The 12,203-nt window shown below is 52.2% G+C and overlaps 6 annotated features.

Moving 5' to 3' along the window:
- Nucleotides 2,596-3,097: an enhancer, noted in NCBI's record as "H3K4me1 hESC enhancer chr1:54933797-54934298 (GRCh37/hg19 assembly coordinates)". NCBI's record gives its function as "activates a minimal SCP1, AML or CMV promoter by ChIP-STARR-seq in primed H9 embryonic stem cells {active_cell/tissue: H9 hESC(primed)}" and the evidence as "EXISTENCE:reporter gene assay evidence [ECO:0000049][PMID:30033119]".
- Nucleotides 3,991-4,285: an enhancer, noted in NCBI's record as "tiled region #12692; HepG2 Activating non-DNase unmatched - State 22:ReprW". NCBI's record gives its function as "activates a minimal TATA promoter and a strong SV40 promoter by Sharpr-MPRA in HepG2 cells {active_cell/tissue: HepG2}" and the evidence as "EXISTENCE:reporter gene assay evidence [ECO:0000049][PMID:27701403]".
- Nucleotides 6,158-6,993: an enhancer, noted in NCBI's record as "H3K27ac-H3K4me1 hESC enhancer chr1:54929901-54930736 (GRCh37/hg19 assembly coordinates)". NCBI's record gives its function as "activates a minimal SCP1, AML or CMV promoter by ChIP-STARR-seq in naive H9 embryonic stem cells {active_cell/tissue: H9 hESC(naive)}" and the evidence as "EXISTENCE:reporter gene assay evidence [ECO:0000049][PMID:30033119]".
- Nucleotides 7,251-7,300: an enhancer, noted in NCBI's record as "active region_1064". NCBI's record gives its function as "activates an Ori minimal core promoter by ATAC-STARR-seq in GM12878 lymphoblastoid cells {active_cell/tissue: GM12878}" and the evidence as "EXISTENCE:reporter gene assay evidence [ECO:0000049][PMID:35858748]".
- Nucleotides 7,611-7,905: an enhancer, noted in NCBI's record as "tiled region #12771; K562 Activating DNase matched - State 8:EnhW". NCBI's record gives its function as "activates a minimal TATA promoter and a strong SV40 promoter by Sharpr-MPRA in K562 cells {active_cell/tissue: K562}" and the evidence as "EXISTENCE:reporter gene assay evidence [ECO:0000049][PMID:27701403]".
- Nucleotides 8,068-11,848: an enhancer, noted in NCBI's record as "VISTA enhancer hs1487". NCBI's record gives its function as "enhancer in: limb[8/9]" and the evidence as "EXISTENCE:transgenic organism evidence [ECO:0001131][PMID:17130149]".

Genomic DNA, 12,203 nt, shown 5'->3' with positions numbered 1-12,203 from the left:
GAGGACATTGTAGCTCAGGAAGGAGAGGTAACTTGCCCAGTGAGCACCAAGCTGGTAGGAGACAGAGTCCAGATTAAATTTTAAATGATATTTTTTCTTTTTCTTTTTCTTTTTTTGAGACGGACTCTTGTTCTGCCGCACAGGCTGGAGTGCAGTGGCATGATCTCGGTTCACTGCAACCTCCGCCTCCCAGGTTCAAGCGATTCTCCTGCCTCAGCCTCCTGAGTAGCTGGGACTACAGGTGCGCACCATCATGCCTGGCTAATTTTTGTATTTTTAGTAGAGACGGGGTTTCACCATGTTGGCCAGGCTGGTCTCAAACTCCTGACCTTGTGATCCACCCACCTCAGCCTCCCAAAGTGCTGGGATTACAGGCATGAGCCACTGCACCAGGCCTCTTTTTTCTTTTTTTTGAGACAGAGTTTCACTCTTGTTACCCAGGCTGGAGCGCAATGGCATGGTCTCAGCTCACTGCAACCTCAGCGTCCCAGGTTCAACTGATTCTCTGACCTCGGCCTCCCAAGTAGCTGAGATTACAGACATGTACCACCATGCCCAGCTAATTTTTTGTATTTTTTAGTAGAGACAGGGTTTCACCACGTTGGCCAGGCTGGTCTTGAACTCCTGACCTCAGATGATCTGCCTGCCTCGGCCTCCCAAAGTGCTGGGATTACAGGCATGAGCCACCATGCCTGTAACTGGCAGGATCTTACTCTTGGTGCCCAGGCTGGAGTACAAGGGCACAATCACGACTCACTGTAGCCTCAACTTCTTGGACTCAAGTGTTCCTCCCACCTCAGCTTCCAGAGTAGCTGGGATTAGAGGCATGTACCACCAGGCCCAGCTAATTTTTTGTATTTTTTGTAGAGACTTTCCGCCACGTAGAGGGTTTCCATCATGTTACCCAGGCTGGTCTTGAACTCCTGAGCTCAAGCCATCTGCCCGCCTTGGCCTCCCAAAGTATTAGGATTAAGGCTAAAATAAAATTTAGGCCGGGCGTGGTGGTTTAGGCCAGGCGTGGTGGTTTAGGCCAGGCGTGGTGGCTCATGCTTGTAATCCCAGAACTTTGGGAGGCCGAGATGGGCAGATCACGAGGTCAGCAGTTTGAGACCAGCCTGGCCAACGTGGTGAAACCCCGTCTCTACTAAAAATACAAAAATTAGCTGGGCATGGTGGCAGGCATCTGTAATTCCAGTACTCAGGAGACTGAGGCAAGAGAATCTCTTGAACCCGGGAGGTGGAGGTTGCAGTGAGCCAAGATCATGACACTGCACTCCAGCATGGGCGACAGAGCCAGACTCCATCTCAAAATAAAATAAAATAAAATTTAAATTAAATTTCAAATCAGCTAAATTTGAATTTCAGATAAGCCATGAATATTTTTTGGTATAAGTATATCCCAAATATCACATGTGTATTAGTCCATTTTCATGCTGCTGATAAAGAAATACCCAAGACTGGGAAGAAAAAGAGGTTTAACTGGACTTACAGCTCCACATGGCTGGGGAGGCCTCAGAATCATGGCGGGAGGTGAAAGGCACTTCTTACATGGTAGTGGCAAGAGAAAGTGAGGAAGAAGCAAAAGTGAAACCCCTGATAAAACCATCAGATCTCATGAGACTTATTCACTACCACAAGAACAGTAAGGGGGAAACTGCTCCCATGATTCAAATTATCTCCCACCAGATCCCTCCCACAACACATGGGAATTATAGGAGATACAATTCAAGATGAGATTTGGGTGGGGACACAGAGCCAAACCATATAATTCCGCCCCCAGGCCCCTCCAAATCTCATGTCCTCACATTTCAAAACCAATCATGCCTTCCCAACAGTCCCCCAAAGTCATAACTCATTTCAAAATTAACCCAAAAGTCCACAGTCCAAAGCCTCATCTGAGACAAGACAAGTCCCTTCTGCCTATGAGCCTGTAAAATTGAAAGCAAGCTAGTTACTTCCTAGATACAATGGAGGTACAGGTATTTGGTAAATACAGCCATTCCAAATGGGAGAAATTGGCCAAGACAAAGGGGCTACAGGCCCCATGCACGTCTGAAATCCAGTGGGGCAGTCAAATTTTAAAGCTCCAAAATGATCTCCTTTGACTCCAGGTCTCACATCCAGGTCACGCTGATGCAAGAGGTGGGTTCCCAGGGTCTTGGGCAGCTCTGCCCCTGTGGCTTTGCAGAGTACAGCCTCCCTCCCAGCAGCTTTCAAGAGCTGGCAATGAGTGTATGTGGCTTTTCCAGATGCACAGTGCAAGCTGTTGGTGGAGCTACCATTCTGGGGTCTTGAGGACCATGGCTTTCTTCTCACAACTCCACTAGGTGGTGCCCCAGTAGGGACACTGTGTGGGGACTCCAACCCCACATTCTCCTTCCACACTGCCTTGGCAGAGGTTCTCCGTAAGAGCCCTGCTCCTGCAGCAAACTTCTGTGTGGGCATCCAGGTGTTTCCATACATCTGAAATCTAGGCGGAGGTTCCCAAACCCCAATTCTTGACTTCTGTGCCCCTTGAAGGCTCAATGCCATGTGGAAGCTGCCAAGGCTTGGGGTTTGCACCCTCTGAAGCCATGGCCCTAGCTCTACATTGGTCCCATTCAGCCATGGCTGGAGTGGCTGGGATGCCGGGCACCAAGTCTCTAGGCTGCACACAGCACGGGGACCCTGGGCCCAGCCCACAAAACCACTTTTTCCCTCCTAGACCTCTGGGTCTGCAATGGGAGAAGCTGCCACAAAGTTCTCTGACATGCCCTGGAGACATTTTCCTCATTGTCTTGGGGATTAACCTTAAGCTCCTTGTTATTTATGCAAATATCTGCAGCTGGCTTGAATTTCTCCTCAGAAAATGGGACTTTCTTTTCTATCGCATTGTCAGGCTGCAAATTTTCCAAACTTTTATGCTCTGCTTCCCTTTTAAAACTGAATGCCTTTAACAGCACCCAAGTCACTTTTTTTTGAGACAGAGTCTCGCTCTGTCACCCAGGCTGGAGTGCAGTGGTGCGATCTTGGCTCACTGCAAGCTCCCCCTCCCAGGTTCATGCCATTCTCCTGCCTCAGCCTCCCAAGTAGCTGGGACTACAGGCACCCGCTACCACACCTGGCTAATTTTTTTGTATTTTTAGTAGAGACGGGGTTTCACTGTGTTAGCCAGGATGGTCTCGATCTTCTGACCTCGTGATCCACCCGCCTCAGCCTCCCAAAGTGCTGGGATTACAGGCATGAGCCTCGTGCCTGGCCCCAAGTCACCTCTTGAATGTTTTGCTGCTTAGAAATTTCTTCTGCCGGCTGGGAGTGGTGGCTCACACCTTTAATCCCAGCACTTTGGGAGGCCAAGGAGGGCGGATCACCTGAGGTCAGGAGTTCGAGACCAGCCTGGCTACCATGGTGAAACCCCGTTTCTACTAAAAATACAAAAAATTAGCCAGGCATGGTGGTGCGCACCTGTAGTCCCAGCTACTCAGGAGGCTGAGGCAGGAGAATCCCTTGAACCTGGAAAGCAGAGGCTGCAGTGAGCCAAGATCGCACCACTGCACTCCAGCCTGGGCAACAGAGTAAGGCTCTGTCTCAAAACAACAACAACAAAAGAAATTTCTTCTGCCAGATATCCTAAATCATCTCCCTCAAGTTCAAAGTTCCACAAATCTCTAGGGCAGGGGCAAAATGCAGCCAGTCTGCTAAAACATAACAAGAGTCACCTTCGCTCCAGTTCCCAAAAAGTTCCTCATCTCCACCTGAGACCACCTCAGCCTGGATATCATTGTCCATATTATCAGTATTTTTGTCAAAGCCATTTAACAAGTCTCTAGGAAGTTCCAAACATTCCCACATTTTCCTGTCTTCTTCTGAGCCCTCCAAACTATTCCAACCTCTGCCTGTTACCCAATTTCAAAGTTGCATCCACATTTGTGGGTATCTTTTCAGTAGCACCCACTCTTCTGGTACCAATTTACTGTATTAGCCTGTTTTCACACTACTGACAAAGACATACCCAAGACTGGGAAGAAAAAGGTTTAATTGGACTTACAGTTCCACATGGCTGGGGAGGCCTCAGAATCACAGCGGGAGGTGAAAGGCACTTCTTATATGGCAGCAGCAAGATAAAACGAGGAAGATGCAAAAGCAGAAACACCTGATAAAACCATCAGATCTCGTGAGACTTATTCACTACCATGAGAACAGTATGGGGGAAACCGCTCCCATGATTCAATTATCTCCCACTGGGTCTGTCCCACAACATGTGGGAATTATGGGAGTACAATTCAAGATGAGATTTGGGTGGGGACACAGCCAAACCATATCAACACGGGATATACTTACATTAAAGTCTATTGCTGGGCGAGGTGGCTCACGCCTGTAATCCCAGCACTTTGGGAGGCTGAGGCGGGCGGATCACAAGGTCAGGAGACCGAGACCACAGTGAAACCCCGTCTCTACTAAAAATACAAAAAATCGGGAGGCTGAGGCAGGAGAAAGGCATGAACACGGGAGGCGGAGCTTGCAGTGAGCCGAGATTGTGCCACTGCACTCCAGCCTGGATGACAGAGAGAGACTCCGTCTCAAAAAAAAAAAAAAAAAAAAAAAAAAAAAAGCGTATTTATTGCTATCTACCTGAAATTTAAATTTACTGAGTGTCTTGTATTTCACCTGGCAATCTTAAACCAGTATACTTCACCACTTGAACTCTCTGGAGGTTTCCTGGGGACAGAGGATGAGAAAAACTCCCATGCTTGGAGCACTCTTCCCCCACTGGTACTTCTCTGTCTATCTCCCGCTACCTTTCAATTCTCAGAAATCACCTCCTCCAGGAAGCTTTCCAAAATACTCATAGGTGGGGTTAAGGGCTGCTCTGAGTAATTAGAAGCTATCATAATTCCCTTATTGAAGTCCTAGGTGGTCTGCACTGCTGGTCCCCTATCCATAAGAGCTCCGCGAGGCCGGGCGCAATGCCCCACGCCTGTAATCCCAGCACTTTGGGAGGCTGAGGCGGGCGGATCACCTGAGGTTGGGAGTTTGAGGCTAGCCTGACCAACATGGAGAAACTCCGTCTCTACTAAAAATGCAAAATTAGTCGGGCTTGGTGGTGCATGCCTGTAATCCCAGCTACTTGGGAGGCTGAGGCAGAAGAATCGCTTGAACCTGGGAGGCGGAGGTTGCAGTGAGCCAAGATCGCGCCATTGCACTCCAGCAACAGAGCAAAACTCCATCTTAAAAAAAAAAAGGCTCCACAAGACCAAAATCTTGTCCTTTTATTCATAGTGGTTCCCCAGTCCCTAGAACCTCATGTGGCATTGAGAATAACTTGCTGTGGAACCCGGGATAATCTCATTGCCTTCTCTGGGCCTCAGTCTTCCCATCCATATGAGGAGGGGTCATCAGAGCTGGTCTGGGAGGCCCCCTCCAGCTGATGCCTGCCATTTCAACCTGCACTTTCACACTGGAGACCCTGGGCAGGGTGCCCTGGGAACCAACCCTGCTTGGAAGACGGGAGGATAAGCCCCAGCCCTGCCTCTATGTGACTGCAGCCTCAGACAAGTTCCCCACCCTCTCTCAGCCCGACTCTTCTCCTCTGCCAGGTCCTGTAAAAATGGGAACCGACTGCCTGCCTGGTGAGGTTGTCAGGAGGCTGAAACAAGAGAGGAAAAGCATTCAGCATAGCCCAGGCACACAAGAGGCCCTCAAAGAACAGGATATTTTCAACACCCCCCCACCAATCAGCTCTTCCCACTCTAGTGGAAGGCTTGAATGCCCATCAGGCAATGGGGGCCATGAGAGCTCCAGCGGGAGGAGGGAGAGTGGGAGAAGCTGGGCTGGGAGCGTTCAGGCAAGACTTTAAATCTGGTCTTCAATTTATTTATTTATTTATTTTTAAAGGGCCTGAGCGTCTTCGGCAGGAGGCCCAGGAATCAATCCAGCTGGACAGGGAGGCAACCTAAGGAGAAGGTTCCCCCCTCATTTGAAGGTTTTAATTTTTAAGAGTAAGTGGGGGGCTAGGAGCAGGTAGGTGTAGGTAGAACAGGCTCTTGAATGGGGGTCCAAGGAGACCCCAAGGTGAGGGGCTTGGTCCAGCTTTGGATCCACCAGTCTCCCTGGGCCACCCTAAATAAGCAGTGACTTGAGGAAAGGGGGTGCTCGCTGGCTCCAAGGCAAGCTCTCCCACCACCTCCGGCTCACCCTCCTTTCAGCCAGTGGGTGGCCTGCCCATGTGGCGGGGAGACCCTGGGAGGCCCTGGGGCGGGCCCTCCCCTGTGACTGCTCTGCCAGAGCTCAGACAAGGCCTTTCCAGGCCCTGATTTGATTTCCTCACCTGACTATGCAGGGAGGAGAGGGTATCATGCCCTTCCAGGACAGACAGTCTGGGCTTCTGGAGGCTGAGATAGGAGTGAGTAACTCAAGTGGCGTGAGCCCCCGGGAAATGAACGTTGCCTCTAAACAGGAACTTGAGACAAAGCTCTCCTCCAGCCCCTGCTGACCTAGCTTCCTGTCAGCCCATTAATCAGGCCCAGCCTAACCTCAAGGCCAAAGTGCCACAAAGAGGAGGGAGGGAGAGGAAAGGAGGAAGGAAAGGAGGGAATTGGCCTCCATTGAGCACCTGGTCAGCGCTACTCACCTTTGCCTGCACCATCTCATGGAGTCTCCCAGCCACCCTCTGAGACAGAACCCACTTTTCAAAGGAGAACTCTTAGTTCCCTAGATGTTCTGAAGGAAGTCACACCATTGATAGGGAGCCAGCCTTCGTGCTTCCCCCCCTTCATTCTAGGGCTCCATGGTGAATCCAGGAGTTTAAACTGACCGGGGAGGAAGAAGAGCTTTGGGCGTCCTGGAGAAGGTCACGCAGCCTTCTCCAGGATGCAAGGCAGGAAGGCTGGGCTGGCCAGACCCTGCCAAATACAGGCGACTTGAGGCAAGTCCCTTCACCTTTCTGAGGATCCCTCTGTCCAGTTAAAAGCTGGCATGGAGTGATCTTTGCCCTCGAGAGTAAGGTGATAAGTGCCTGGGCTTTGGAGCAAGACTTGATTTCCGATTCTGGGTCTGCTGTTCCCTGGGTGAATGGCCAGAGACAAGTCATTCCCCTCTCTGAACCTCACTTCCTGTGACAAACATGGGGGTGATGAAACCATCCTCATGGGGTTTTTCTGAGGACTGGGAGAAGACGTAGGTGGAGGGCCCCACAGACTGTGGGTGAGGGGTGGAGAGAAACCCAATGAGAAGGTATAGTGAGTGTGAGCTGTGGGACCGAGGTCTGCAAAGTCCCCACCACCTTGCTAAAGGACGAAGCAAGTGATGCCCCCTCCATCACCCCCCACTGCACCCCACGAGCCCGAAGCACTCTCAGGCTTGAAAGGGCAGACTCCACACTGCTACCTCTGTCTGACATCTTCACCTCCTTGGACCCACACCCGATCCTACCCATCCTGGCCCAGGCAGACCCATCCTGTTCATCCCTCGCCATCCTGGTGCAGGCCTCCCACCTCCACCCCACCCCCATTCTCCCACCCCCAGAACAAAAGGGACAGTTGACATTCTTTGTCCTGTGCAGACTTATTCTGTGAGTGCAGGACCCACCAGATCCTGCGGCTGGGACCTGCCACCTTCCCCGGAGTCCCAGCCCAGCTCTCTGGGGAGGCTTTGCTCAGGAGAGGGAGGGAGGGGCCTTAAAGGAGCAGAGCCTTCTTTCGGAAAACATTCCCTACCCCCAAGATCAGAATTAGCTGGAAGGAAACCAGATAAGGGAGGAGGACCAGAGAGGGGTCTGAGGAGACTGCAGTCATGTGACCTGTCGAGATTGGGATGGGAGCTAAATTGGGGCTAAAACTCACTCTCCTGGCTCCCAGCCAAGAGCTCTTTTCATTAACTGATTTTTCAGTGTGTTTTAAAGGAACTGGTCCCAACCCTGTCCTGATTTGCTGTGTGATGTTGGGTGAGCTCCTTTCCCTCTCTGGGTGTTAGTCTCCCTTGGGTAAAATGGAGGATCTCCCACATGAGAGATTTCCTGAGCTAGACCCTGGCCAGGTGCCGGATATCAAAGATCAGCCACGCTCCCGGAATCTAGTTCTAGGATTCCATCAGGAAAGAGCACAACGTGACTCTTGAGGCAAATGTAACATGGTTCCATTAAAGTAGAGCCCCCCCCAGATGGTGGAAGGGAGCTAGACTCCCAACCCTCACATTGGTACAGTCCTGTATCACCTACAAAGTTCATGTACCCTGTTTATCTATCAACAAACTCGTTGACAAACAAGACCAAATATTGTCCTCTTTCCACAGAAAATAAGGCTCCACCAGGGCCTGACACCCTGGGCTCACTGAGGACAGGTCCCTACCCACCCTGGAGCAGAGTGTCTGGAAAGAGATGTCTGAGCTGAATGGGGAAAGATGTGTACCTTTCAGCCTGCGTGACGGAGGTTCTGGCTGAGGGATCCCCATGGGCAAGGGACAGCAGTGCGACTCCAGCTACAGTTCACCTTGGCTGGAGCCTAGGGTGTGCCTGAGGCCGGAGCAGGAGAGGAGGCTGGAGGGTCTCACTGCTGGGCGTAGGAGTTTGTCCTGGCGCTGCTGAGGAGCCTTAGCCGGGTAGGGGTGGGATGTTATGCCAGGAGTGTTTGTAGTAAAGGGGGTGAACGCTGGGGCCCCAGGCAGAAGTCATGGAAGCTGGGACAGCTGTCCATAAGGGTACCTTCTGACAAAGGGGCTTTGGAGCCTCCACAAGCTGGGGGGGCAGGGGAGGGGGAGGAGTCCGTGGTGGAGCCGAGCAATTCCTCCTGGGAAAGAGGGGAAGTGAGCAGGGAGATGAAGCAGGGAGAGGAAATGAAAGATTAAGTGCATAAAGGCCATAAAGCTCGGGAGCGGCCAGGCCGGATGGATTCCAGGTTTATGGACACACTTACATCCAAGGATGCTCCACCAGGGCCTGACTCTCAGCAAGTGCAGCCGCCCAGGAAGGCAGAGGGGACACTGGGCTGGAAGGGACCTCTGTGCCCTGTGGTCCTCTCTTGCCACCCCCCTCACCTACCCCCAACTCCTCCCAGCTGGCTGACAGCCCAGCTGGAAGCAATTGTGGGAGCCCCCAGCCTGGAGAGCTGCATCCCACAAAGGGCCCTGGTAAATAGCAGCCCGCACCCCAGACAGGCGGCAGCACCACCTCCCCCAGCCTCCCTTTTGCAGCCCCCTGCCCGGAAATTCAAAACAACTGCTCAACACAGTGTTAAGTCCTCCAGGAAGGAGCTTGGGGTTGGCAGGCCCGGGTCTTGCTTGGAACTCCCTCTGCCCCCAGCCCCCACTCTGAACTCCCCTGAAATATCCGCCCCTTCCCTGAAGCCTTGCCATGGGCTCTCCAGCCCCTGGGTTTCCCATGCTGGCATTCACTGCAGGGCACGGCAGCCCTAGCTTGGCTGAATTGCCAAGTAGAGTGTGAGCACCGTGAGCTCGTGTAGTCTTGTCCCTAGCCCTGGGTCTGCCGTGGAGCAAATGCACCGCATGTATGTGAAGAATGAACAAATGAACCTGCTGTGTGACCCCGAACCATCACTCTGCTCTTTGGGCCTCAGTTTCGTCATCTATCAAATGGTCCTGATAACTTTTATCCAGTCTATTTCCCAGAGTTGTGAGAGTTAACTAAGAACGTTTATGCCGGTGTCTTAGTAAAATAGCTGCAAAGCTGATGGTTCACAAGGATTCTTGCAAGCCTTCCTGGCCTCAGTATGCTCCTCTGTAAAATGAGGGCCTGAGTTCAGCGCTAGCCAGGACCCAGTCTCAGCTTTGCTATTCTGAGTCTATAGCCAGACCTAAGGATGCCCAGACTTTCCTCAGCTCCTTAAATACCAGCTGGGTGGTAGGGGGCAGGTAGAGGATGTGGTGTCACAGAAGACCCCTGCCCAGCATTCAGAAGGCCCTATTTTAGTTCCAGCGTGGCATCTGACTCACACTGTGTTCTTCTCTGGGCCTTAGTTTCCTTCTCTGTAAAAGGGGAAGAGGTAGACACAGGAGGCCTACAGTAACTTTTAGCATTCAAGTTCATGACAGGACACTGCCTGGAGGGCAGCAGGAAGCCCTGATGGGCTCTGAGCAGGAGAGTGTGTGATCAAAGTGTTTTCAGAGCACTCGCTCTGGCAGTGGTGTGATTCATGGGGAGAGGGTGGGGAGTCTGTAGTCTGGAGACACGGAAGGGGCTGTTGCCTTTGCCCAGGCGGCAAAGATGGCGGCCTCCACACCTTTGCTCATGCGCTGCCCCATGCCTCTGCCTCTTCTCAGTATCTCCCGCTTTTATACTTTTATATCATTAGTCATATATACGTACATATGTACATATACACATATGTGTGTGTGAGTGTGTGTGTGTGTGTGTGTGTGTGTGTGTATATATATATATTTTTTTAAGACAGGTTTGCCCAGGCTGGTCTCGAACTCCTGGTCTCAAGGGATCCTCCTGGCTAGCCAGGTTTCAGGACCACTTCCTGCACAGTCTTCTCAGATTGTCTGTGATGCAGTTCATCTCCTCCGCCTGTGCCACCCAGTTTCCCAACTCTGTATTTTTATCTTGAGACCAGTTTGAATTACTGGTTTGAGTGTGTGTGTGTGTGTGTGTGTGTGTGTGTGTGTCTATTTCCTGGGCTGTGAGCTCCTGAGATCAGAGTGGTGCCCCACCCATCCCCATGTCATCTCCAGCACCCATCACCTGACCTGGCCCAGAGGAGGTGCTTGGTACCTGTGTACTCTGAGTCCAGCTGCAGCATAGGAGATGGGGCTCCAGCTCCGGCTGAACTACTAATAGCTGTGTGACCTGTCTCTTCTGGCCACATAGGATTACCCCTATTCTCAGGTCAGGATTCTGCAGGAGGGACCATCCTTGGGCTTATTCCTTGGCACCTCCCCTCAGCGATCTCTTTCCTGTGCCCCATGATCACGATAAGCTGTTTCAAGTGCAATTCCAGCCAGACCCCAAGCTCACTGAGAACCTCATCCTTGGGTCTGCACAGTGGTCTGCACAGCGGGCTGCTGACCAGCCTGCATAAGAAGGGCCTTGTCCACTCCACTCCCTCCCTCCCTCCTTCCCCATCCAAGGACCTCCATAAATAGTGACATGACTTTGAAAAATACATGACTTTGCAAGAGGCCAGAAGCATTCACTGCCGAGGCCCAGTTGCAGCCCTACCTCTGTCTCCTGCATACTCCTGCCCAGCCATCCTCCTGGGGCAAGTGTGGACTCCCTTGAGAGGTGTGGAGAAGAGGTGCTGTCAGCCCCTAAAGCAGATGGATCTCTAGTGGCACTAGTATGCCCCAGGCAAGCCCTGCACAAATCTCAGCCAGAAGCCCTCTCTACTCCCCCACCCCCAGGGGCTGGGACAGACCTCAGCCGGCAGCCTCCCAGCTTTGATCAATACAGGGCAAGCAGCCAAGAAGGCTGCAGGCTCCATCCTCCCAGGAGGCCCCAACTCAGCCGGGGTCACATGGGGGAGGGGGCCAACGCCTGGCTCAGGGGCTCAGCAGGGTGGGGCGGGGCAGGGGAGAGCAGGAAAGGCAGACATCACTCACACAGTCATCCATTCCTTCACCCACTCGCTCCTTCAAACACATTTGTTCAGTTCACAAATATTTAGTGAGCACCAACTCTACACCAGCACTGTCATTGGCACTGGGGACACAGCAGAGGACGGGACAGCAGCTCTCATAGAACTCGTGTTCCAGGGGGAGAGAGAGAGAGAGACAAAAGATGAAGGAACAGACACAAATAAAGAGGTAGTTTCAAAAGGCTGTAAAGATAAAATAGGATAGGGTGATAGAGTGATAGGACAACATTGTAAGTGGACAGAGAGGATGACAGTGGAGCTGAGATGAGGAGATGGCTTGGGTCAGGAGATTTGCAAGCAGGAAGCTTATTGGGGAGCACTTCTGGGCTGGACTCATGTGAGGTAGTAGGGAAGCAGGGTGGGGTAGAGGGAGAAGCTGAGCTGTGCTGCAGTCACAGGAAACACTTCAGCTGACTCCCATGGAGCTCCAGAGCAAGGAAAGATTTCCTTCCCTCCCTCCCTCCCTCCCTTCCTTCCTCCCTCCCTCCATCCCTCCCTCCTTCCTTCCTTCCTTTCTTCCCTCCCTCCCTCCCTCTGTCCTTCCTTCCTTCCTCCCTTCCTTCTTTCCTTCCCTCCCTCCCTCCTTCCTGCCTGCCCACCTTCCTTCCTTTCTTCCCTCCCTCCCTCCTTCCTTCC

This window comes from Homo sapiens, chromosome 1, assembly GCF_000001405.40.
Source record: "Homo sapiens chromosome 1, GRCh38.p14 Primary Assembly".
Taxonomy (NCBI): Eukaryota; Metazoa; Chordata; class Mammalia; order Primates; family Hominidae; genus Homo; species Homo sapiens.
The sequence above is the reverse complement of the archived record's forward strand: the minus strand, read 5'-3'. Positions and strand labels throughout refer to the sequence as shown.